At 61.4% G+C, this 23469-nt stretch overlaps 5 protein-coding genes across 13 annotated transcripts in view, besides 3 other annotated features; 2 read left to right on the top strand and 3 right to left on the bottom strand.

Annotated features, from left to right (window-relative positions):
• Positions 1–808: 808 nt before the first annotated feature.
• On the bottom strand, positions 809–2658 carry TPSAB1 (tryptase alpha/beta 1). The gene is made up of 6 exons (NM_003294.4): positions 2635–2658; positions 2364–2424; positions 2039–2210; positions 1664–1929; positions 1373–1536; positions 809–1287 (listed from the first exon to the last, which is right to left on the bottom strand). The coding sequence occupies exons 2-6, from the start codon at positions 2422–2424 to the stop codon at positions 1123–1125; spliced, it is 828 nt and encodes a 275-aa protein (NP_003285.2). The 5' UTR covers positions 2635–2658; the 3' UTR covers positions 809–1122.
• Positions 3633–4213: an enhancer, noted in NCBI's record as "H3K4me1 hESC enhancer chr16:1289151-1289731 (GRCh37/hg19 assembly coordinates)". NCBI's record gives its function as "activates a minimal SCP1, AML or CMV promoter by ChIP-STARR-seq in primed H9 embryonic stem cells {active_cell/tissue: H9 hESC(primed)}" and the evidence as "EXISTENCE:reporter gene assay evidence [ECO:0000049][PMID:30033119]".
• Positions 4214–4796: an enhancer, noted in NCBI's record as "H3K4me1 hESC enhancer chr16:1288568-1289150 (GRCh37/hg19 assembly coordinates)". NCBI's record gives its function as "activates a minimal SCP1, AML or CMV promoter by ChIP-STARR-seq in primed H9 embryonic stem cells {active_cell/tissue: H9 hESC(primed)}" and the evidence as "EXISTENCE:reporter gene assay evidence [ECO:0000049][PMID:30033119]".
• TPSB2 (tryptase beta 2) lies at positions 13179–15027 on the top strand. The gene is made up of 6 exons (NM_024164.6): positions 13179–13201; positions 13412–13472; positions 13626–13797; positions 13907–14172; positions 14300–14463; positions 14549–15027. Exons 2-6 carry the CDS (start codon positions 13412–13414, stop codon positions 14711–14713), a joined length of 828 nt encoding a protein of 275 aa, NP_077078.5. The 5' UTR covers positions 13179–13201; the 3' UTR covers positions 14714–15027.
• Positions 16123–18112, bottom strand: LOC124903621 (uncharacterized). The gene is made up of 2 exons (XM_047434997.1): positions 17802–18112; positions 16123–16909 (listed from the first exon to the last, which is right to left on the bottom strand). Exons 1-2 carry the CDS (start codon positions 18110–18112, stop codon positions 16123–16125), a joined length of 1098 nt encoding a protein of 365 aa, XP_047290953.1.
• TPSG1 (tryptase gamma 1) lies at positions 18095–21712 on the top strand. Its single transcript, NM_012467.4, has 6 exons — positions 18095–18156; positions 18735–18761; positions 19769–19940; positions 20446–20711; positions 21022–21167; positions 21267–21712. The coding sequence occupies exons 1-6, from the start codon at positions 18111–18113 to the stop codon at positions 21573–21575; spliced, it is 966 nt and encodes a 321-aa protein (NP_036599.4). The 5' UTR covers positions 18095–18110; the 3' UTR covers positions 21576–21712.
• Positions 19057–19243: a silencer, noted in NCBI's record as "fragment chr16:1274120-1274306 (GRCh37/hg19 assembly coordinates)". NCBI's record gives its function as "represses an EF-1alpha promoter that drives an FKBP-Casp9 reporter gene in an ReSE screen in HepG2 liver carcinoma cells and K562 erythroleukemia cells {active_cell/tissue: HepG2 | K562}" and the evidence as "EXISTENCE:reporter gene assay evidence [ECO:0000049][PMID:32094911]".
• The window catches only part of CACNA1H (calcium voltage-gated channel subunit alpha1 H), a 68663-nt gene continuing 66788 nt past the window's right edge, over positions 21595–23469 (bottom strand). For all 9 annotated transcript variants that reach the window (XM_047434836.1, XM_006720963.4, XM_005255652.5 and 6 more), the window contains one exon: positions 21595–23382. In XM_047434836.1, coding sequence (XP_047290792.1) covers positions 23345–23382 — 38 coding nt within the window. In that variant the 3' untranslated portion in view covers positions 21595–23344. The remainder of the gene's footprint in view (positions 23383–23469) is intronic.

Raw genomic sequence — 23469 nt, 5'->3', positions numbered from 1 at the left:
GCCCCGCATTTCATTCCTGGGTGTAATCATGTTCAAATAAAAAATGCAAACAAGAGCCCGGGATAAAATGCAACACTCGCCAGACGCAGAGGGCTCACCTATTGATGTAGAGAAAGACCTCAAAATGAATTTGAAAATGTCAAACTCAGGCCGGGTGCGGTGGCTCACGCCTGTCATCCCAGCACTTTGGGAGGCCGAGGCGGGCGGATCACTTGAGGTCAGGAGTTCGAGACCAGACTGGCCAACATGGCGAAACCCCATCTCTACTGAAAATACAAAAATTAACTGGGCGTGGTGGCTCACGCCTGTGGCCCAGCTATATGGGAGGCCAAGATGGGAGGATCGCTTGAGCCCAGGAGTTAAGGCTGCAGTGAGCCCTGATCACACCACTGCACTTCAGCCTGGATGACACAGCGAGATCCCGTCTCAAAGCAAACAACTAGGCAAAGCACAAGCAGTGGACAGAGGGGCCGGGAGAAGAGCTCGTGGGAAGCGTGGGGTAGGGGCTCATGATGGGCAGCCCTGGGGCTCCCGGCGACCATTCTCTGTCTTGACCCGGTTGCAGGGACCTGGCTGTCCTTTATAATCAACTGAGTTGCCCGAGTGGCTCTGTGTGACCCGAATGCTGGATGCATCGTGTGGGGAGAAGCCAGCCTCGGGGACCAGGGCTGCCCAGGAGGCCCCGTCCCACGGTGACTGGCTGTGCCTTGAGGGCTAGGACCTCACACTGTGGCAGGTGTCCTCAGCACACCTGGACCCCTTCTCTCCCAGTGACATCCACAACCAGAAACACAGCGATGCACACCAGTGATTTCCATGCACTTTAATGAGGTCCAGCACTCAGGAGGATTAGCGCCCACCACCAGCTATCTGGGCAGGGGAGGGCTGGAGGGCCCGGTGCAGGCGTCAGGCTTAGGACAGGGAAGGGGGCTCAGGATAGGGAAGGGTCCTCAGGACAGGGGAAGGGGCTCAGAAGAGAGCAGGGGGCTTAGGACAGGAAGGGGCACTCAGGACGGGGCAGGGAAGGTGTGGGGGGCAGTCGCCACCTGGGTAGGAAGCAGTGGTGTTTTGGACAGCAGGGGTTGGTCCTCCAGTGACCCAGGTGGCCAACCCAGGCCTGACTCACGGCTTTTTGGGGACATAGTGGTGGATCCAGTCCAAGTAGTAGGTGACACGGGTGTAGATGCCAGGCCGGTTGGGCTGGGCACAGCCCTCGCCCCAGCTGACCACGCCCGCCTGCAGCCAGGTGCCATTCACCTTGCACACCAGGGGCCCTCCGGAGTCGCCCTGGGAAGGTCAGAGGTCAGCGCTCGCCGAACAGGCCTGGGAGTGGGGGTTGGGGGGCGGGGGGCGGGGGACAGGCGGGGCCCACCTGGCATGAGTCCCTCCGGGTGTTCCCGGCACACAGCATGTCGTCACGGACGATGCGGACGTCGTCTCCCGTGTAGGCGCCAAGGTGGTATTTTGCGTCACAAATGTGGTTTTCCATTATGGGGACCTTCACCTGCTTCAGAGGAAATGGCGGTGGGAGGCGCTCTGCAGGTGGGGAAGAGGGTGCAGCCTCAGGAGGGGGCCGGGCAACCCCCACCTGGAGCCCAGAGGGAGCCCAGGGGCTGGGCTGTGGCTAAGACCCTGGCCCCACCTCCACTGTCCCCAGACCCACCATCATTGTCCACATCGCCCCAGCCAGTGACCCAGCACGGCATCCCCGGGGGGAAGGTCTCTGAGGCAGGGGGCAGGGTGACCGTGTGGACGTGGCTGGAGACGTTCACCGGCTCCTCCAGCTCCAGCAGGGCGATGTCCGCTCCGATCTGGGCGGTGTAGAACTGTGGGTGCACGATGATCCTGCTGACCGGCAGCAGCTGGTCCTGGTAGTAGAGGTGCTGCTCCCGCAGTTGCACCCTGAGGGCGGCCAGATCCTTGACGTCCCTGGGCAGCGGAGGATCCCACTCAGGGCCCTGGGCAGCCCCCAGGAGCACCCGGGAGCCAGGGCTCACATCCAGCCCTTCCCCACCCCTCCAGGCCCCGGGAGACTCACGGTCCCACGCAGTGCGCTGCGGTCAGCACCCACTGGGGGTGGATGAGGGAGCCCCCGCAGAAGTGCATCCAGTATGGGCCGTGGACTCTCAGGCTCACCTGCCAGGGCCACTTGCTCCTGGGGGCCTCCTGACCCCCGACGATGCCCACTCGCTGCAGGGCCTGGCCTGGGGCTGGGGCAGGTGCCAGGTCAGGACCAGGAAGCAGCCCCAGGCCTGGGCCCAGCCCTTCCCTGTGTGGGGGCCAGCCCGACCTCCCCAGAACCCACCCAGGCCCTGACCTGTGGAATGTGGTGAGGGGCAGGGTGGACCCCGGCTGGGACTCACCAGGGGCCGCGTAGGCGCGGCTCGCCAGGACGGGCAGCGCCAGCAGCAGCAGATTCAGCATCTGGGGAGCAAGGAGGAGCATCGTGGGCCTGGCCGGGCCTCACAGGGCAGGGCTGGGGGCTACAGATTGTGGGGTGAAGAATGGAGCTGGGACGGGGGGACCGGGGTGGGTCCAGGCCTGCGGGCCTGGGTCTTGGTGCTCTGAGTCTGAGGCTGGGCCACTCTGCTCCAGGTGACGCTGATGTCAGGGTCTCTGAGAGTGGGGACTTACCCTGGCCGCTCCCTGTTCCTTCTACCCAGTGGGCTCTCCCCTCCCCATTTATCCTTCCAGATCAGGAGGGGGCGGAGGAGGGGCGCTGGGTCCTCCCATCCAGACTCGGAGGAAGTGGATGACTCAGACCCAGGGCCCCCGTGTAACACGTGCCCCCGCCACCCCGATGCCCTCTGTGTGTGGGGCTGCCAGGCAGGCCCCGCTGAGGGCTGAGCACTGGAGACTGGCAGCTCCACCTGTCAGCTGGTGGATCCCAGCACTGGAACCCACCACCTTCCCGCTGGTGGGATCTGCTCCTGCCCCTGTCTCGGTGCCAGGAGGCCTTCAGGCATTGCTGCACCCAGGTGGCCTGGCTGCCCCAGGCTACAAGACCCGTCGCTCCTGAAACCTGTTTCCCCAAGAGGGACACGGGTGAGGAACTCATGTCCATGGGCCACGCTCCAAGAGACGGGAAGGTGCCCACGGGGTGGGGACATGACGGGTGACACCCCTCCTACGGACTCCGAATCCACGGGGGTGGGGCCAGCCCTCCTCGACTCACTTGGTTGGGGGCTCACGTGAGACCCCTTTGTCAGATGGGGAAACAGCCTTGAGAGGGGACAGCACCAAGTGTCCTCAGCCAGGAAGGGGCCCTGCTCCCCACCCGCCGTATGAGACCCAAGTCCTCCTACGAGTCCTCAATGTCCACCTCTGGGGCTGTCCGTGCAGGTCCCCTGGTCTGCAGGTGCCTCCTTATCATGGGATCTGAGCTTCATACGCAGAGGGAAGAGCAGAGAGGAGTGCAGGTGCAACCCCAGGAGGCCCAGCCCAGCTCCCCATGGACTCACCCCCAACTTCAGCCCCAGCTCCCCATGGACTAGTCCCAGCCCCAGCCCCAGCTCCCCATGGTCTCATCCCCGGCCCCAGCTCCCTGTGCTCTCCATCCCATTCAGCGCTGACACTGTCCCTGCAGGTCCGTCCACCCCACCTCCCGACTCCCCTGGGCCTGTTGGTCACTGGGGCCTCCAGCCCACCTCCTCCGCTTCTGAGCCCCAGGACCCCCTGCCTGCCCCCCGACCCCCAACACAGGGCCACTCCGGGGCTCCTCCTGCCCCCACCCTGCCTGGGACCAGCCTGGTTTGGGGCTGACTCTGCACTGCGGGGCCATATCCATCTGGACTCCTTCCGGGCTGCACCCCCCGGGGGACAGGCAGGGGTGGCCCAGACCGCTCCTGCTCATGACCCTGCTTCTCCTCCATTCTCTGGACAAACTCCCCAGAGGCCTCCACCTGCCCCGTCCTGGTTCCATGAATGAGGCCCACAAGATGGGACCTTCAGGAGCCCAGGAGGTGAGGGGATGGGGTGACGGGGGACACCAGGGATGAGGGTGTGGCAGGGACACGGGAGACACCAGGGCTGACGGTGAAGAAGAGACTCAGGGGACACCAGGGCTGGGAGAACCCAGGGACACACGGGGACACCGGGGCTGTGGTGTGCAGAGGGCTCTGGGACCCCCGAGTCAGGGGCTCTGGGGCCGCTCCTCCTAGGAATGCTCCGATTGGGTCAGGCCTGGGAGGCGGACCAATCAGCACCATGGGGATGCGAGAGCTTTGATTGGCTAACACTGGGCCAATCAGGGCGCGTCCTGGGCACCCCGCCCCGATCCCCGGCCGCTCCCCTGGGGCTGCTGCAGGGCTGGGGTCCCAGGGGAGGTGGATGGACCTGTGCGGCCCTGCCCCGGCGCCTCTCAGGAAGCCCCGCATCCTATCTCTGCCGTCCCGCAGCAAAAAGCTGAACTCCCGTCACGTACAACCAGCAACGAACAAAAACGATAACAAACCCATAATTCACAGTGGAAAGGACTCTGCGCTCAGGAAGGTTCCATCCAGTTCAGAATGAAGACGCAGAATAAAGATTCCTTGAGACCCTGTAACTAGCCAAGTTCTCATCAGACTATGTATTCATTTGCTTATTTATAACTGAATAGACTCATGGTCCCCTGTTTTATTCAATTATTTTAATTTCTTTCTTTTTCCCAATCATTTTTCTAATATGCAAACTCATCCTGATGCGGACACTGGGAGCTCCTGCGAGCTGGCTTCTGTGTCGTCTGACATGTCTCCATCTTTGAACTTTTCCTCCTACAAGATTCTTCTGGGCTCCTCTCATATCCGCCTCTGCGCCAGGCAGTCCTCCAGGAGGCCCAGCTCCTGTCGGTGGCAAACGGTATTTAGAGACCACGATGTAGGTGAAGGGATTGCCCATCGCTCTTGGGTGTTACTGCTCACAGCCCTCCTCAGGGGACAGAGCACACGCATGCACAAACTTGATCCATGCACTCACACACATGCACATGCGTGCACGCACTTGATCCATGCACTCACACGTGCACACAGATGCACACTCACACATGCACACACCTGCACACACTTGATCCATGCACACTCACAATGCACTCACATGCACGCACATGTGTGCACACTCATGCACATATGCACACACACGAATGTTCACATGCACACACGCACACATATGCACACACATGCATGTACCTGATGCACACACACATGCACTCACACATGCACATCTGTGCACTCACATGCACATATGCACACACGAATGTTCATATGCAAACACGAACACACATGCACACACATTCACACTCACCCATGCACACACATAACACATGCACACTCACACACAGGCACACTCACACACTGACACACACACACTCCCACGTGCACATCTACACGGCCATATCTATAATGAAAACCATGAGCTCTCACAGTGCCTCAGCTGTGATTCCACCCCACAGGGCTTACTCTGCGTTTCTCCTCTCCCATCGGGCTGCCTTCTCCAGCAGCGGGGAGCTGGTTCCACCCCCAATTCACTGATCTCATCAATCCCCCGTGTGCCCCCCACTCTGGGCCAGTGTGGCTGTGGCGCCCCAGGTCCACCCTGGGACCTGCCCCATGCTAGGCTTTAGGACAGAATCTATTGGAGGGAAAGGGAAGGGGTGGGGTGGAGATGTGAGCAGAGCTTGACTGTTTAAAAAGCTTCTGGCCGTTTCGGTGGGTGTGAAGTGGGTTCTCCCTGCGGCTTCACTCTGCGGTTCCCCGACGAGAGCAACCTGATGAGCCAGGCTGGCCACGGAGCGTGGGGGTGCCGGAGCCCAGAAACGGGACCCCCCACCTCCTAGTCCTTGCCTTCTCTGCCCTCAGGGTGACTCGGGAGGGCCTCTGGTCTGCCAGGCGCATGGTTCCTGAGGGCAGGTTGGCGTCATGAGCTGGGTCAAGAGCTACAGCTGCGGGCGCTGGCCAGGGGTCTACACCCTCCTCTCTGCCTGGGTGAGCCGGCCCCACCGCCGCATCCCAGCATCGGGGGCTCAGGCGGCTCCCCAGGCCCCCTCCCAGGGGACTTCTTCCTCCTCCTCCAACTCGTCCTCCTCTTGGCTGTCTCCTGCATCTGGTGGCTAAGTGACCTCTGGGCCAGCCGCAGTGGCTCTTCCTCCCCCGACCTCTGACCCTTGGCCCCTGACCTGCATGAGCCCCTCCAGCTCCCTCCTCCCAGAGGAGTGGAGGGCGATGGCCACAGCCTAGGCCTGGAGGCAGACCCCGCTCCAGGCCTGCACAGCCCCGGCTCGCACCCCAGTGCAGCCTCTTCTCCCCGTGGGGAAACTGAGGCAGAGAGGGCGCCGTGACCTGCTACGGTCACACGCAAGGCCTATCCCAGCCCTGGAAGCTCCAGGGCTCTGAGACCCGACCCAGCGGGCAGGTGGGCTGGGCGGGGCAGCTGACTCCTCTCCGCCCCTTCCTCGCCCCTCCCCGCACCTGCCCTGCCCCCTCCCCGCCCCCGCCCCGCCCTCCCGCAAACGCCCCGCCTTCCTCCCAGCGCCTGCCTCGGCCGCGCCCGGGCTCCGCTTTGCATGGTCAGGGGCCCCCTCTGCTGGAGACGCGGGGAAGTGCAGCGCTCCGGAGGGAGAGAAAAGTCGGTGATCGCTGCGTAGAAAATCCAGGAATAATGGACCCTGGAGTAATGGACTTAGCAGGGCTGTGACATACAAAACCAATATGCAAAAGGATTACTGTGTTTCTAAACGCCAGCCATGAATATTGGACGATAAACGCGAACATCCATACCCTTTGCTACAGAATAAAAAAATCAAACACCAGGAATACATTTAAGGGAAGGCATGCAAGATCTCTACACCAAAAAGTACAAACATTGCTGGGAGGAGATTTCAAAGCCCTACGTAGGTGGAGAGACAGGAGCACGGGCCATTTTCATCACCCTAGAGGTTTCCTCACCTCTCGGTCACCTGCCTGAAGGGGCGGGGAGTAGACACCCTAGGGTGATACGTCTTGCTTTGGGCCATGGTTACACAGGTTTGGCAATCATCACAATTCATTGGACTGGACATTTCAGGTCTGTGCATTCTGTTTATTTAATTTGCTCTCAATAAAAAAATATATCTATACATTCAGTTCCCACTCGGACATACGAAGGGACTGGAAGCCAACCTCACAACCACATCGGAAACGCTGGGCCAACTGAAACGCAGCTGAACAGCCTTCTGAGAACCGAGCTCACGGGACAAAGCACTGCCCCCAAACCGGACAGACCGGTGGCTACTCGGGAGGCTGAGGTGGGAGGATCGCTTGAGCCTGGGAGGTTGAAGCTTCAGCGAGCTAGGATTGCACCCCTGCATTCCAGCCTGAGCAACAGAGCAAGACCCCATCTCAAAAAAAAATTTTTTTTAAACTCTGCTTTACAAGAGACATTGTTAAGAGAATGAAAAGACAAGCCACAGACTGGGAGAATATCTCTGCAAAACTCATATCTGATAAAGGATGATTATCCAAAATATACCAAGAACCCTTAAAGTCAACATTAAAGAGAACAAGCAACCCGGCCGGGCAGGGAGTCACACCTGTCATCCCAGCACAAGCAACCTGGCCGGGTGTGGTGGCTCACACCTGTCATCCCAGCACTGTGGGAGGCCAGGGTGGGAGGATCACGAGGTCAGGAGATCGAGACCATCCTGGCCCACATGGTGAAACCCCGTCTCTACTAAAAATATAAAAATTAGCTGGGTGTGGTGACACACGCCTGTTATCCCAGCTACTTGGGAGGCTGAGGCAAGAGAATCACCTGAACCAGGGAGTCGGAGGTTGTGGTGAGCCAAGCTCACGCCACTGCTCTCCAGCCTGGTGACGGAGTGAGACTCCGTCTCAAAAAAAAAAAAAAAAGAAAAAGGAAAAAGAAAACAAGCAACACAATTAAAAAGTGGGCATCAGATAAATCTAACAAAGAGATTGAAAGAATTAAAAAGAAAAAAAAAAGTAGGCAAAAGATCTGAACAGACACTTCACCAAAGAAGATATAGAGATGTCAAATAAGCACCTGAAAAGATGCTCAGCATCAAACGTTATTAATTAAATTAAAATAACAATGAGATACCACTACACACCCGTTAGGATGACTAAAGTCCCCAAGACAGACAATACCAAGTGCTGACAAGGAGGTGGAGCAACGGGAACTCTCATCCACTGCTGATGAGAAGGCAGAATGGCGCAGCCACTTTGGAAGACAGTTTGGCAGTTTCTTACAAAGCTAAACATACTCTTACTATATGATCTAGCAATTGTGCTTCTAGGTATTTACTTACCCAAGGAGTTGAAAACTTATGCCCACACAAAAACCTGCACATGATGTTGATAGCATCTTTACCCATAATTGCCAAAAAGTTGAAGGAACCAAAGTGTCCTTCAAAAGGCGAATGGGTAGAACAACTGTGGTACATCCAGACAATGGAATATCATTCAGAGACAAAAAGCAATGAGCTGGCCGGGTGCGGTGTCTCATGCCTGTAATCCCAGCACTTTGGGAGGCTGAGGCGGGCGGACCATGTGGTCAGGAGATTGAGACCATCCTGGCTAACACAGTGAAAACCCATCTCTAAAAAAAAAAAAAAAAAACAACAGCTGGGCATGGTGGCAGGTGCCTGTAGTCCCAGCTACTCGGAGGCTGAGGCAGGAGAATGGCGTGAACCCGGGAGGCGCAGCTTGCAGTGAGCCGAGATCACACCACTGCACTCCAGCCTAGGAGACAGAGCGAGACTCTGTCTCAAAATAAATAAATAAATAAATAAATAAATAAATAAATAAATAAATAAAAGCAAGGAGCTATCAAGCCTTGAAAAGACATACAGGGGCCATAACTGCCTACTACTCAGTGAAAGAAGCTAGTCGGAAAAAGTTAATAGTGTATCGTTGATAGTGGATAAGTCAAAACTTCAGAGACAATGAAAATATCCGTGGTTTCCAGGGGATGGGGAGAGGGAGAGGCAGTGGAGCACGAGATTTTGAGGGCAGGGGATGTATTCCGCATAATACGGTAATGGTGGACACATGACTTGTGCACTTGCCACGACCCACAGAATGTACAACAGACAGAGTGAACCCTCATGTAAACTGTGGGAGTTCGTTAGTAATAATGTATCAATATTGTTCATCAGCTGTAACAATGCACCCACAGTAATGCAAAATGTTCATAACAGGAAACTCTGTGTGTGGGGATGTGTGTGTGGGGGGATACGATCTGTACTATCTGCCCAGTTGTCTGTAAACTTAAAACTGCTCTAAAAAATAAAGTGCATTAATTCCAAAACACCACAACTTCACGTGCAATTTCAACTTGCAACAGCCTGCTTTTAGTCTCCCCGGATCCTTCTGTTACTGTAGCACACGCCGCACCCTTGTGTATTCCATAAACCACACGATACCTGCACTCGCTTTGCTGTTGTTGCTTCAAACTGCCAATTCTCTTTCAAATATTTTTTGAGAGAGAAAACTGTCTTACACAGTCACAGCTGTTTCCATTTCCAGAGTTTATCTTCCCTTAGTCTAGGTCTAGATGTTCATCTCTTATCATCTTCTTCCTGCAGAACTTCCTTTCACATTTCTTTTTTTTTTTTTTTTTTTTTTTTTTGAGACGGAGTCTCCTTCATTGCCCAGGCTGGAGTGCAGTGGCGCCATCTCGGATCACGGCAAGCTCCGCCTCCCGGGTTCACGCCATTCTCCTGCCTCAGCCTCCCGAGTAGCTGGGACTACAGGTGCCCGCCACCACGCCCGGCTAATTTTTTGTATTTTTAGTAGAGACAGGGTTTCACTGTGTTAGCCAGGGGGGTCTCGAACTCCTGACCTCAGGTGATCCACCCGCCTTGGCCTCCCGAAGTGCTAGGATTACAGGCGTGAGCCACCGCGCCCAGCTAATTTTTGTATTTTTAGTAGAGATGGGGTTTCATCACGTTGGCCAGGCTGGTCTTGAACTCCTGACCTCAGGTGACCCAGCCGCCTCGGCCTCCCAAAGTGCTAGGATTACAGGCGTGAACCACCACGCCCGAACATGATTGATTTTTTTTATCGGGAGGTCATCCTTTTTCATGCCTGCTTTTTTTTTTTTTTTTTTTTTTTTTTTTTTTTTAGACACGGTATTGCTTTGTTGCCAGACTGGAGTGCAGTGGCACGATCTCGGCTCACTGCATCCTCTGACTCCCTGGTTCAAGCGATTCTCCTGCCTCAGCCTCCCGAGTAGCTGGGATTACAGGCACGTGCCACCACGCCCGGCTAATTTTTATATTTTTAGTAGAGACGGGGTTTCACCATGTGGGCCAGGCTGGTCTCGTTCTCCTGACCTCACGATCTGCCACCTCGGCCTCCCAAAGTGCTGGGATGACAGGCGTGAGCCACCGCGCCCGGCCACCCGCTCGTTCTTGACTAGCCCCCGGATCTCGTGAGTACTCTCTGGAGTGTTTTGTTGCGTGCTGGGTTGTGTTCTATTCCTTGACATCGTTTTGAGATGTGTTCTCACAGGCAGTTAAGTCACTTGCAATCATTTGGATCCGTCTGGGCTTTGCTTTTCAGCTTTGTGAGGGTGGGTCCGGAGAAGCCTTTGGTTTCGGGATTACTTTCTCCCCTCGTACCCTTCCATACCCTTCCGAGGACTCTCCAGTGCCTGCCTCTGACAAGGTTTCTCCACTCAGCTGCTGGGAACACGCGATATCCCCAGCCCCGCGCGCACTCCCGGACTCCGCCCCTCTCATCTGGTGGTTCTCGTTTCCGACGCGGCTCCCACGTCTCTCTGCATCTCCGGCACTCGGCCGAGGACGCCGGGGGGAACCCCCTGCGGATGCCCGGAGCTCTCCGTGCAGTTCTCCGCCTCGTGAGTCATGGCTGCCGGGGCCTCTGCACGCGCCAGGTGCGTCTCCCCAGCCCAGCAAGCTCCTGGGGCTGAGTTTCCCATCGCTGCCCTGAGTCTGGGCGCGGCCACTGTCGTCTCACCCGACTCCCCACCCTTCTCTCGGGGACACTGCCCCACGTGGCCTCTTGCCCAGTGTCTGTCAATGGCCTGGGACCCCAGCCCTGCAGCAGCCCCAGGGGAGCGGCCGGGGATCGGGGCGGGGTGCCCAGGACGCGCCCTGATTGGCCCAGTGTTAGCCAATCAAGGCTCTCGCATCCCCATGGTGCTGATTGGTCCGCCTCCCAGGCCTGACCCAATCGGAGCATTCCTAGGAGGAGCGGCCCCAGAGCCCCTGACTCGGGGGTCCCAGAGCCCTCTGCACACCACAGCCCCGGTGTCCCCGTGTGTCCCTGGGTTCTCCCAGCCCTGGTGTCCCCTGAGTCTCTTCTTCACCGTCAGCCCTGGTGTCTCCCGTGTCCCTGCCACACCCTCATCCCTGGTGTCCCCCGTCACCCCATCCCCTCACCTCCTGGGCTCCTGAAGGTCCCATCTTGTGGGCCTCATTCATGGAACCAGGACGGGGCAGGTGGAGGCCTCTGGGGAGTTTGTCCAGAGAATGGAGGAGAAGCAGGGTCATGAGCAGGAGCGGTCTGGGCCACCCCTGCCTGTCCCCCGGGGGGTGCAGCCCGGAAGGAGTCCAGATGCATATGGCCCCGCAGTGCAGAGTCAGCCCCAAACCAGGCTGGTCCCAGGCAGGGTGGGGGCAGGAGGAGCCCTGGAGTGGCCCTGTGTTGGGGGTCGGGGGGCAGGCAGGGGGTCCTGGGGCTCAGAAGCGGAGGAGGTGGGCTGGAGGCCCCAGTGACCAACAGGCCCAGGGGAGTCAGGAGGTGGGGTGGACGGACCTGCAGGGACAGTGTCAGCGCTGAATGGGATGGAGAGCACAGGGAGCTGGGGCCGGGGGCAAGTCCACAGGGAGCTGGGGCCGGGGGTGAGACCATGGGGAGCTGGGCTGGGGCTGGGGGTGAGACCATGGGGAGCTGGGGCCGGGGGCTGGGACTAGTCCATGGGGAGCTGGGCTGGGGCTGGGGGTGAGTCCATGGGGAGCTGGGCTGGGGCTGGGGGTGAGACCATGGGGAGCTGGGCTGGGGCTGGGGGTGAGACCATGGGGAGCTGGGGCCGGGGGATGGGACTAGTCCATGGGGAGCTGGGCTGGGGCTGGGGGTGAGACCATGGGGAGCTGGGCTGGGGCTGGGACTAGTCCATGGGGAGCTGGGTCTGGAGCTGGGGGTGAGACCATGGGGAGCTGGGGCCGGGGGCTGCGACTAGTCCATGGGGAGCTGGGCTGGGGCTGGGGGTGAGTCCATGGGGAGCTGGGCTGGGGCTGGGGGTGAGTCCATGGGGAGCTGGGGCTGGGGCTGGGACTAGTCCATGGGCAGCTGGGCTGGGGCTGGGGGTGAGTCCATGGGGAGCTGGGCTGGGGCTGGGGGTGAGTCCATGGGGAGCTGGGCTGGGGTTGGGGGTGAGTCCATGGGGAGCTGGGCTGGGTCTCCTGGGGTTGCACCTGCACTCCTGTCTGCCCTTCCCTCTGCCGATGAAGCTCAGATCCCATGATAAGGAGGCACCTGCAGACCAGGGGTCCTGCACGGACAGCCCCAGAGGTGGACATTGAGGACTCGTAGGAGGACTTGGGTCTCATACGGCGGGTGGGGAGCAGGGCCCCTTCCTGGCTGAGGACACTTGGTGCTGTCCCCTCTCAAGGCTGTTTCCCCATCTGACAAAGGGGTCTCATGTGAGCCTCCCACCAAGTGAGTCGAGGAGGGCTGGCGCCACCCCCGTGGATTCGGAGTCCGTAAGAGGGGTGTCACCCGTCATGTCCCCACCCCGTGGGCACCTTCCCGTCTCTTGGAGGGTGGCCCATGGACATGAGTTCCTCACCCCGTGTCCCTCTTGGGGAAACAGGTTTCAGGAGCGATGGGTCTTGTAGCCTGGGACAGCCAGGCCACCTGGGTGCAGCAATGCCTGAAGGCCTCCTGGCACCGAGACAGGGGCAGGAGCAGATCCCACCAGCGGGAAGGTGGTGGGTTCTAGTGCTGGGATCCACCAGCTGACAGGTGGAGCTGCCAGTCTCCAGTGCTCAGCCCTCAGCGGGGCCTGCCTGGCAGCCCCACACACAGAGGGCATCGGGGTGGCGGGGGCACGTGTTACACGGGGGCCCTGGGTCTGAGTCATCCACTTCCTCCGAGTCTGGATGGGAGGACCCAGCGCCCCTCCTCCGCCCCCTCCTGATCTGGAAGCATAAATGGGGAGGGGAGAGCCCACTGGGTAGAAGGAACAGGGAGCGGCCAGGGTAAGTCCCCACTCTCAGAGACCCTGACATCAGCGTCACCTGGAGCAGAGTGGCCCAGCCTCAGACTCAGAGCACCAAGACCCAGGCCTGCAGGCCTGGACCCACCCCGGTCCCCCCGTCCCAGCTCCATTCTTCACCCCACAATCTGTAGCCCCCAGCCCTGCCCTGTGAGGCCCGGCCAGGCCCACGATGCTCCTCCTTGCTCCCCAGATGCTGAATCTGCTGCTGCTGGCGCTGCCCGTCCTGGCGAGCCGCGCCTACGCGGCCCCTGGTGAGTCCCAGCCGGGGTCCACCCTGCCCCTCACCACATTCCACAGGTCAGGGCCTGGGTGGGTTCTGGGGAGGTCGGGCTGGCCCCCACACAGGGAAGGGCTGGGCCCAGGCCTGGGGCTGCTTCCTGGTCCTGACCTGGCACCTGCCCCAGCCCCAGGCCAGGCCCTGCAGCGAGTGGGCATCGTTGGGGGTCAGGAGGCCCCCAGGAGCAAGTGGCCCTGGCAGGTGAGCCTGAGAGTCCGCGACCGATACTGGATGCACTTCTGCGGGGGCTCCCTCATCCACCCCCAGTGGGTGCTGACCGCAGCGCACTGCGTGGGACCGTGAGTCTCCCGGGGCCTGGAAGGGTGGGGAAGGGCTGGATGTGAGCCCTGGCTCCCGGGTGCTCCTGGGGGCTGCCCAGGGCCCTGAGTGGGATCCTCCGCTGCCCAGGGACGTCAAGGATCTGGCCGCCCTCAGGGTGCAACTGCGGGAGCAGCACCTCTACTACCAGGACCAGCTGCTGCCGGTCAGCAGGATCATCGTGCACCCACAGTTCTACACCGCCCAGATCGGAGCGGACATCGCCCTGCTGGAGCTGGAGGAGCCGGTGAACGTCTCCAGCCACGTCCACACGGTCACCCTGCCCCCTGCCTCAGAGACCTTCCCCCCGGGGATGCCGTGCTGGGTCACTGGCTGGGGCGATGTGGACAATGATGGTGGGTCTGGGGACAGTGGAGGTGGGGCCAGGGTCTTAGCCACAGCCCAGCCCCTGGGCTCCCTCTGGGCTCCAGGTGGGGGTTGCCCGGCCCCCTCCTGAGGCTGCACCCTCTTCCCCACCTGCAGAGCGCCTCCCACCGCCATTTCCTCTGAAGCAGGTGAAGGTCCCCATAATGGAAAACCACATTTGTGACGCAAAATACCACCTTGGCGCCTACACGGGAGACGACGTCCGCATCGTCCGTGACGACATGCTGTGTGCCGGGAACACCCGGAGGGACTCATGCCAGGTGGGCCCCGCCTGTCCCCCGCCCCCCGCCCCCCAACCCCCACTCCCAGGCCTGTTCGGCGAGCGCTGACCTCTGACCTTCCCAGGGCGACTCCGGAGGGCCCCTGGTGTGCAAGGTGAATGGCACCTGGCTGCAGGCGGGCGTGGTCAGCTGGGGCGAGGGCTGTGCCCAGCCCAACCGGCCTGGCATCTACACCCGTGTCACCTACTACTTGGACTGGATCCACCACTATGTCCCCAAAAAGCCGTGAGTCAGGCCTGGGGTGTCCACCTGGGTCACTGGAGAGCCAGCCCCTCCTGTTCAAAACACCACTGCTTCCTACCCAGGTGGCGACTGCCCCCCACACCTTCCCTGCCCCGTCCTGAGTGCCCCTTCCTGTCCTAAGCCCCCTGCTCTCTTCTGAGCCCCTTCCCCTGTCCTGAGGACCCTTCCCCATCCTGAGCCCCCTTCCCTGTCCTAAGCCTGACGCCTGCACCGGGCCCTCCGGCCCTCCCCTGCCCAGGCAGCTGGTGGTGGGCGCTAATCCTCCTGAGTGCTGGACCTCATTAAAGTGCATGGAAATCACTGGTGTGCATCGCTGTGTTTCTGGTTGTGGATGTCACTGGGAGAGAAGGGGTCCAGGTGTGCTGAGGACACCTGCCACAGTGTGAGGTCCTAGCCCTCAAGGCACAGCCAGTCACCGTGGGACGGGGCCTCCTGGGCAGCCCTGGTCCCCGAGGCTGGCTTCTCCCCACACGATGCATCCAGCATTCGGGTCACACAGAGCCACTCGGGCAACTCAGTTGATTATAAAGGACAGCCAGGTCCCTGCAACCGGGTCAAGACAGAGAATGGTCACCGGGAGCCCCAGGGCTGCCCATCACGAGCCCCTACCCCACGCTTCCCACGAGCTCTTCTCCCGGCCCCTCCGTCCACTGCTTGTGCTTTGCCTAGTTGTTTGCTTTGAGACGGGATCTCGCTGTGTCATCCAGGCTGAAGTGCAGTGGTGTGATCAGGGCTCACTGCAGCCTTAACTCCTGGGCTCAAGCGATCCTCCCATCTTGGCCTCCCATATAGCTGGGCCACAGGAGTGAGCCACCACGCCCAGTTAATTTTTGTATTTTCAGTAGAGATGGGGTTTCGCCATGTTGGCCAGTCTGGTCTCGAACTCCTGACCTCAAGTGATCCGCCCGCCTCGGCCTCCCAAAGTGCTGGGATGACAGGCGTGAGCCACCGCACCCGGCCTGAGTTTGACATTTTCAAATTCATTTTGAGGTCTTTCTCTACATCAATAGGTGAGCCCTCTGCGTCTGGCGAGTGTTGCATTTTATCCCGGGCTCTTGTTTGCATTTTATATTTGAACATGATTACACTCAGGAATGAAATGCGGGGCTGTTCTGGTTGAAAACAACTCTCTAAAGAAACATTCACTCTTTCCTTCCAACTGTTAGATGCAGAGATGTGCATTTAGTCTCCCGAATCTCTGCAAATGACCTCTGTCCTCACAAGGGGTGGACTCAACTCCCAGTGCCCTCTCCAGCCCCACGTGACCTCTGCCTCTGCAGCCCCTGAAGGCCCATCCCTCGGCTCCTGTTCTGCAGGCCCAGCGTCTTGTTAATGAAGATGGACCTGGAACTCGGGCCCTTCTTCCTCCCTCTGGCCCATCCCACCTTCTAGGGATCACAGAGACAGCACGGGGTGACCCCCAGGGAACACTGAGCCCCTAGAAGCACTTCCACACGCCCACTGGAGGTTTTGCGGGGTGGGAGTCGGAGGGATGAGACCCCGAAGGGAAGCAAGACGGCCCCTCAGGACAGGGCTGCCGGTGTAAGGAAAGGTGGACAGCAGGGGCCGGTCACTGGGTGGAGGGGGAGGGCGGGCTCCAGCCCCAGAGCTTCCCAAATTAGATCTAAGATCCCTGGGAAGCTCAGTGAAGCTCAGCCCAGTGACACTGGCAGATGTGAGCGTCAGCTTCAGCAGGAAGGGTCTCTCAGGACGTGGCAGGCAGGCTGCTGGCCAGGGCTGCAGCCACCTGCGTTTTGACTGGGACGGGGGCACCTGCTCCAAGGTCACCCACGTGGCTGCCGGCAGGAGGCCCTGGTTCCCCGTCACAGGGGGGTGTGAGGCGGAGGGCGAGTGGGGGGGACAGGGTTCCCACCGAGGGGACGGCACCCAGGTGGCCAGGCCACCGCAGACAGAAGCAATCCCAGGTCTCCCAGGGTCCTGGACAACAGGAGACCCCACCAAGCTGGGGGCAATCACCAGGGCCAGGCCCCCCTCCCGGTTCCTCAGTTGGCTCTCCTGTCCAATGGTGGGGGTGAACGGCACCATGTCACAGGACTGCTGGGGCTCAGGGGATGGTGCCTGAAGCTTCTTCCTCCCCAGCAGGCCTGCAATCTGGGTCGTGTGGAGCACTCTGCGGGGAGTGGCGTGCTGGGGCACAGGCAGAAAGACGGGGTCCCCAGTGCTGCAGGTGAATTGAGTTGGGACAGGTGAGGGCCCTGAAGTCCCCACCTGTGGGGACCTGGGGACAGCCCTAGAGGTCAGGACTAGAGGACCTGGTTCCATGAAGACCCTGCCCCTCAGGCTCCCTCCCCACTGGGTGACATCGCCCTGTTAGGGGCACCCTGGGCCGGGGACTCGTGGCTCAGACCCCGCTCCCTTGTGTGGGGTGGGACTGTCCTGCCTCCCCTGAGGCGCCCCCTCCAGGTGTGCGGCTGCCGTGAGGGAGGAGGGTGCCCGGCCGTGGGTGCACTGCTGGCCCCGCATGCTGGTGTTGTCCTTATTGGTCACCAGGAAAAACACTGAACCTCCAGTTCTGAGCCTTGGCTACCCCACGTGCTGGCGTGCAGGCGGCCACGTCTGTGCCTGGGAGGCCACATCCTGGTGGGTGGTCAGGCAACTCCCCCCAACCCGTGGCTGAGTTTCCCCACATCAAAGAGGGGATCCCTGACCTAGAAGGTCTCAGCTGGACCCTCCAGCCTGGCCTGTGATTTGGATCTGGGGAGGGCGGCAGGAAAGTCCCGGGCGCTGCCCAGGGCCCCTAATCAGCTGAGTCATCAGGCTGGGGCAGCCAGGACGGTTAGGAAGGGCCAACCCAGGCTGGGCCGTGAAGTGGTGCCCATCTGATCTGCCGCACGAGCACAGGACCTGCTGCCGGACGTGGGGACAGGGACTTCTCAAAGAGTGGTTGTCACGAGGGCCTGAGCTGTCTCCAAAGGGCTGCTGGGCCTTGAGTTGGGACCCTCCTGAAGAACCCCCAGGACTGGGCTCCCAGAGGATGAAGGAGAGGGGGTGGCGTGCCCCGAGGGAACCAGGGAGTAATTTTTGGAGGGGGCGGCACTCAGAGGAACACTCACCCCTCCCTCAGCCCTGGCCCCGGAGCAGAGACAAGGTGAGAAGTACTTTTGCCTTCTGTCCTTCCCCGCTTTCCCTTGACGGAGCCGGCCACTTGGTGCCAGGGCTGTGGCGTCCACACAGGGATAAATGGAGGTGACGACCCTTCTCTGAGGTGCAGAAGGAACAGGTGGGGCCGTCTGTGGAGCTCCGGCCTCCTCCTCCGTCCTCCCGCCCTGCCTGACAGCAGGTGTGTGGCCACCCCTATCCCCCACGCCCAGCAGGTCCAAGGGTCAGGCTGGCCCTCCTTCTCCCTACAGTGGGCAGACACCATGGCCCTTGGGGCCTGTGGCCTCCTGCTGCTCCTGGCTGTGCCCGGTGGGTGACCTGGCCTGGGTGTGGGGATGGGGGGGCATCTGCTTCCTGCCTGGACCCCTGATGGGGGTGAAACTGGGGGCTGGTCTGAGACGGAGAAACATGCTGAGTCCCCACCCTGTGGGGCCCCGTGTCTCCTCTGAAGAGACTGCACCCCTGGCTGGAGGCCCAGCTGTCCGTGCTGGGGAGAGGCAGGAGGGATGTGCGGGTGGGAGTTGGGGGTGCAGGAGTTGGCAGGGCGGGTGGTAGTTGGGGGTGCGGGTGGGAGTTGGGGGTGCCAGGAGTCCCAGGCCCTAGAACACTGGTGATTTCTTTCCTGAGCAGGACCTGGAGGGCGGGGAGGAGGCCCAGGCCTGAGGCCAAGCTCCCGGCCTCCAGCTGCCGTTTATGGCCTGTGGCTTGTCCCACCCAGCCCTGGGCCAGTGAGACAGCAGTTGACCCAGCCTCACCAGGCCGGGCCCCTCTGCTCAGGACCAGGCCCCACCCCAGTGCCGCCCTGAGGCCTGGCAGGGGCCTCTGGAGCCCGCACACCCCTCTCCTTGGCAGCCCCCTCCATCCTGGGCCCTTCGTCTTTCCCACAGGTGTGTCCCTCAGGACTTTGCAGCCAGGTACGTCTCTGACAGGTGTGGGGTGTGGGGGAGGGTGCAGGCAAGGCCTGGCAGGAGGGCCTCGGTGACCCTCTCCTTCCCTGGGGTCCCAATGGGGGCCCGGGGAGGTCATAGTTTGTCGCCGTGGTTTCTGCTCGCATCTCTCGGTTGAGTGGGGCTGGTCGGGGTGTGCTGCAGGGCTGTCTCCCCCACCACCACTGTAGTCAGTCTGTACCTTGGGAGATGCTCTGAGGCCATGAAACAACCTGGCCCTCCTCGAACTTTCTCCCCACAGCGTCCCCACCGTGGCCCTGGAACCAGCTGGGGGCTTTGCCGTGTGGGAGAGCCGGTGCCCCACCCCACACCCGCTGCCTATCTATAAACATCTCTGTCTGTCTACATCCCAGCTTCCCTTCCATTCAGCCCAGTGGCCACACTCCATCACCAGCACAATTATCCAGCTCAGGCAGACCCAGGTGTGGCCAGTGGGTCTCCAGCTGACTTCCTCTTAATTTCTTCTTAACTTACTGAGGTGAAGTTTACAGAAGATAAAGTTACATTATCAAGCGTCCAATTCAGAGGCCCCGAGCACCTTGGACAGTGCTGTCTGCCCCCCGCCCCCCGAATTTTATCCAGCTTCGAATATCTCCACCACCCCTGAAGGAAAACCGGGGCCCACTAGGCAGCCACCCCCAGCACCCCGGGCCTTCTCGGGGGCTCCACCGTTCTGAGCCCCTTTCTAGCCGCCTAGGGGCCCTCTGCAGCCTTTCCACCGCCTCCGGGAGCCCTGGTTAGTTTGTGGAGCATGGTGCTTAGAAAGGACGACCTGAGCCCCAGGCGCGCTCACTGCTCCTGAGACGTCATTTCTGCTGCACCCACGATGCTTCTGGGGAGAGTCTGGCAGACGAGAGAGCTGAAGAGCAAAGTCCCCAAGAAGGCAGGGAGGTGTGGTCAGGGAAGGCTTCATGGAGGAAGTGCAGTGGGTTTCTTGGGATCCCCACCAGGCACCCCTTCCTCCTTCGACTTAGGGTGTGGCCGGCCGCAGGTTTCGGATGCAGGCGGCCGGATCGTGGGGGGTCACGCTGCCCCGGCCGGCGCATGGCCATGGCAGGCCAGCCTCCGCCTGCGGAGGGTGCACGTGTGCGGCGGGTCACTGCTCAGCCCCCAGTGGGTGCTCACAGCTGCCCACTGCTTCTCCGGGTGAGTGTCCGGGTGGGCAGGGGCAGTCTCAATGTCCAGGCCCCAGTGGGGCATGCGCCAGCGCAGAGGCCTCCACTTGGTCTTGACTCACTCCGAGGCTTGGGAACTCTGAGCCTACTTCCTTCCAATGGAAAGGGAGGAGCTGGTTGCCCACCTTCTGTGAGGTTCTGCAGCTCTTTGCTCACCTCTAGGGATGGACAGCTCCCTCCCTCCTTCCCTCCCCTCGGTCTCTTCACGTGGAGCTGAGCTTGCAATCTGCCTCCTGACCAGCCCCTGCTGGTGTCGGGCATGCTGCTGGCTTTTCCAGGGGCTGGCAGGAACCCCAAGGTGCTGCCGTGGTCCTTGGGCCCTGCAGGGTGAGGCCACTGCCCAGGCTTTCTGCGTCCCAAGCCTAGGAGGGAAGAGCTGGGCTTCGGATGCCTGCAAGGGTAGGGTCTGGGCGGGGCCGACACTGACCTCCAGCCTCCGCAGCTGGCCCCTCTCACCCAGCCACCTTCCCTCCCAGGTCCCTGAACTCATCCGACTACCAGGTGCACCTGGGGGAACTGGAGATCACTCTGTCTCCCCACTTCTCCACCGTGAGGCAGATCATCCTGCACTCCAGCCCCTCAGGACAGCCGGGGACCAGCGGGGACATCGCCCTGGTGGAGCTCAGTGTCCCCGTGACCCTCTCCAGCCGGATCCTGCCCGTCTGCCTCCCGGAGGCCTCAGATGACTTCTGCCCTGGGATCCGGTGCTGGGTGACCGGCTGGGGCTATACGCGGGAGGGAGGTGAGGAGCCCCCGTGGGGATGCTGGGATGGAGGAAGGCAAGGGCGGCAGGAAGAGAGCTGGCTTGAGGGATGCTGATGCTACCACCTGCTCCTGGTGGCTTCCACACCCAGCCAAGGCCGCCCCTATCGGCTGTCCCTTTTCAAAGCCTGTCGTGTGGATCCAAAGCAGCAGCCAAACGTCAGATCACAACCCACGTGCCGTGACGAGGGTCGTGGTGGCATGGGACTTGTGTCTGGCAAGGTCTCCCATCCCCCCAGTGCAGGGCCTGGTGCCCCAACCTTCTCTGAAGCCTGTTCCCCCCACCCCAGAGCCTCTGCCACCCCCGTACAGCCTGCGGGAGGTGAAAGTCTCCGTGGTGGACACAGAGACCTGCCGCCGGGACTATCCCGGCCCCGGGGGCAGCATCCTTCAGCCCGACATGCTGTGTGCCCGGGGCCCCGGGGATGCCTGCCAGGTGAGCCTGCCAGGCCGTGACAGAGGATGGGGGCGGCTGAAGCCCAGGGAGGGGCTCCCCATCTTCTCGGCTCCCAATGCTCGCCTTCTCTGTCCTCAGGACGACTCCGGGGGGCCTCTGGTCTGCCAGGTGAACGGTGCCTGGGTGCAGGCTGGCACTGTGAGCTGGGGTGAGGGCTGCGGCCGCCCCAACAGGCCGGGAGTCTACACTCGTGTCCCTGCCTACGTGAACTGGATCCGCCGCCACATCACAGCATCAGGGGGCTCAGAGTCTGGGTACCCCAGGCTCCCCCTCCTGGCTGGCTTCTTCCTCCCCGGCCTCTTCCTTCTGCTAGTCTCCTGTGTCCTGCTGGCCAAGTGCCTGCTGCACCCATCTGCGGATGGTACTCCCTTCCCCGCCCCTGACTGATGGCAGGAATCCAAGTGCATTTCTTAAATAAGTTACTATTTATTCCGCTCCGCCCCCTCCCTCTCCCTTGAGAAGCTGAGTCTTCTGCATCAGATTATTGCAACATTTAACCTGAATTTAAAAGCACACGAAACAAAGGTGTCAATGGGAATCTCGCGGCCAACGCCCCCAGATGTAGGGGAGGCCTGATTCGCATCGGGGCCGGGCGCGTTACTCCATGGGGTCGGCCCCTTAGTGAGGTGTCACCTCTCCCAGAGTCACAGGACGCTTCTGGGAAGGCCCGAGCGGAACGGAAAGGGTGGTGGCTGGAAGGGGAGGGTGGTGAGGGCGTGACAGGCGGACAAGAACTCAGACTGTGAGTGAAGGTGACATTGGGCCGCGGTGGCTGCAACCTGCCGCCGGCAAGGGCACAGGGCCCCCAGCGAGTGTCCTGTAACAACGCGGGGCCTGAAAGGACGCAACCTGGTACCTTCCCCTCTCTGGCGGGTGCCCGGTCTTCGTCCCACAGACGCGGCTTCTCTCCTGACGGGAGGCTGACCCAGTTGCCCGCACAGCCTCGGCTGGTAGCAAAACTCGGAGAAACCCGAACCAGAACGGACGGAGGCTCGTGGGGCCCGGCAGCTACTCCTGCTTCGCTGGGCAGAGAACCAGGGCCTGGGCCGTCATCCTCCCCGGGCCTTTCTGCTCACGACGGGACCCAAGTCAGGGTCCATGCAGGGTTCTGCCTGGGCCTCCACCCCAGCGGGGCCCCCAGACCCCAGGGCCAAAGCCGTGGGCGGCACCAAGCCCCGAGCTACACGGGGTCATCTGCACCACCCCCTGGGGCAGGGGTGGCTGAGGGGGACCCTGGTTTCTCCAGAGGACACTGGGGGACTGTGAGGTACAGCCCCCGCCTCTTCTCTGGGGGGTCACCGACGGGCATGGGAGGCTCTGATTCTGGGGGTTCCAGGGGCACTATGGCCCCTGAAGAGGAAGCTCTGGATTCTGGGGTCACACTGTGGCTACCGTCCAAGAAAGGGTCTCCACTGGGGACCCCGAGGTCCAGCGGCTCAAAGGCAAAGCTGGGGACGGTCAGGTGCTCAGCCCGGCAGGAGGCCTGGCCCCAGCGCTCCCCCTTGGCTGCAGGGTCCCCCCCGGCGCCTGAGCCCTCTGTGGGCTCCAGGGAGTCCCTGTGAGGCGTGGCCTCACAGGACGGGGTCCTGCGCCTCAGTGTGGTGCTGCCGCCCTCTGCCGCGGAGGGCCGCGCAGAGCCCTCGTCCTCCGCAGGGGGTTCCACCGAGATGCAGGGGGGGCTCATCTTCTTCTTTCTGCGCGCACCCAGAGCGGGCTCGGCCTCAGGGCCCCAGGCCTTCGCCTCCCCAGGCTCCCCGCTGCCCAGCTCCGCCGAGGGCCGCCACTGCTCGTCTGCCCGGCCCGGCTTGTCCAGGAAGCCCTGAGCATCCACGCTGTAGAGCCTGCGCAGGTCCCGCTCGCCGCCGGCCACCGGAGAGGCTTCGGGGCCATGGGGCTCGGCTGTGGGCTGCCAGGGGCAGGCGGAGCTGGTGATGTGGCTGACCTCCTCGTCGGCTGGGTCCGAGGCCTCGGCCTCCTCTCCGCCTGGGGCCGCCGGCCGGCTGGAGACGCAGCGCTGTCCGAAGGTATGCTTACGAGTGCGGACGCTGGCGGGCCGTGGGGAGCGTGGTGGGGACTGCAGGGAGCCCCCCTGGGTCACCGGCCTCACCGGGGTTTTCTCACCAGGCTCTGCAGGATCCAGGGTGTCCCTAGGGCTGTCAATCTTCCCTTCCAAGGAATCGGTGTGCACAGCCTCCTGTGGGGGCGTAGAGTCAAAGTGAGGGGCGGGGCCCTGGGAGAGCCCTGTCAGTGGCCAGGGCTCGGAGACCCCTCACCATCCAGG

Source organism: Homo sapiens, chromosome 16 (assembly GCF_000001405.40).
Source record: "Homo sapiens chromosome 16, GRCh38.p14 Primary Assembly".
Classification (NCBI taxonomy): domain Eukaryota; kingdom Metazoa; phylum Chordata; class Mammalia; order Primates; family Hominidae; genus Homo; species Homo sapiens.
Note: the sequence above shows the minus strand (reverse complement) of the source record. Positions and strands in the feature narration are given on the sequence as shown.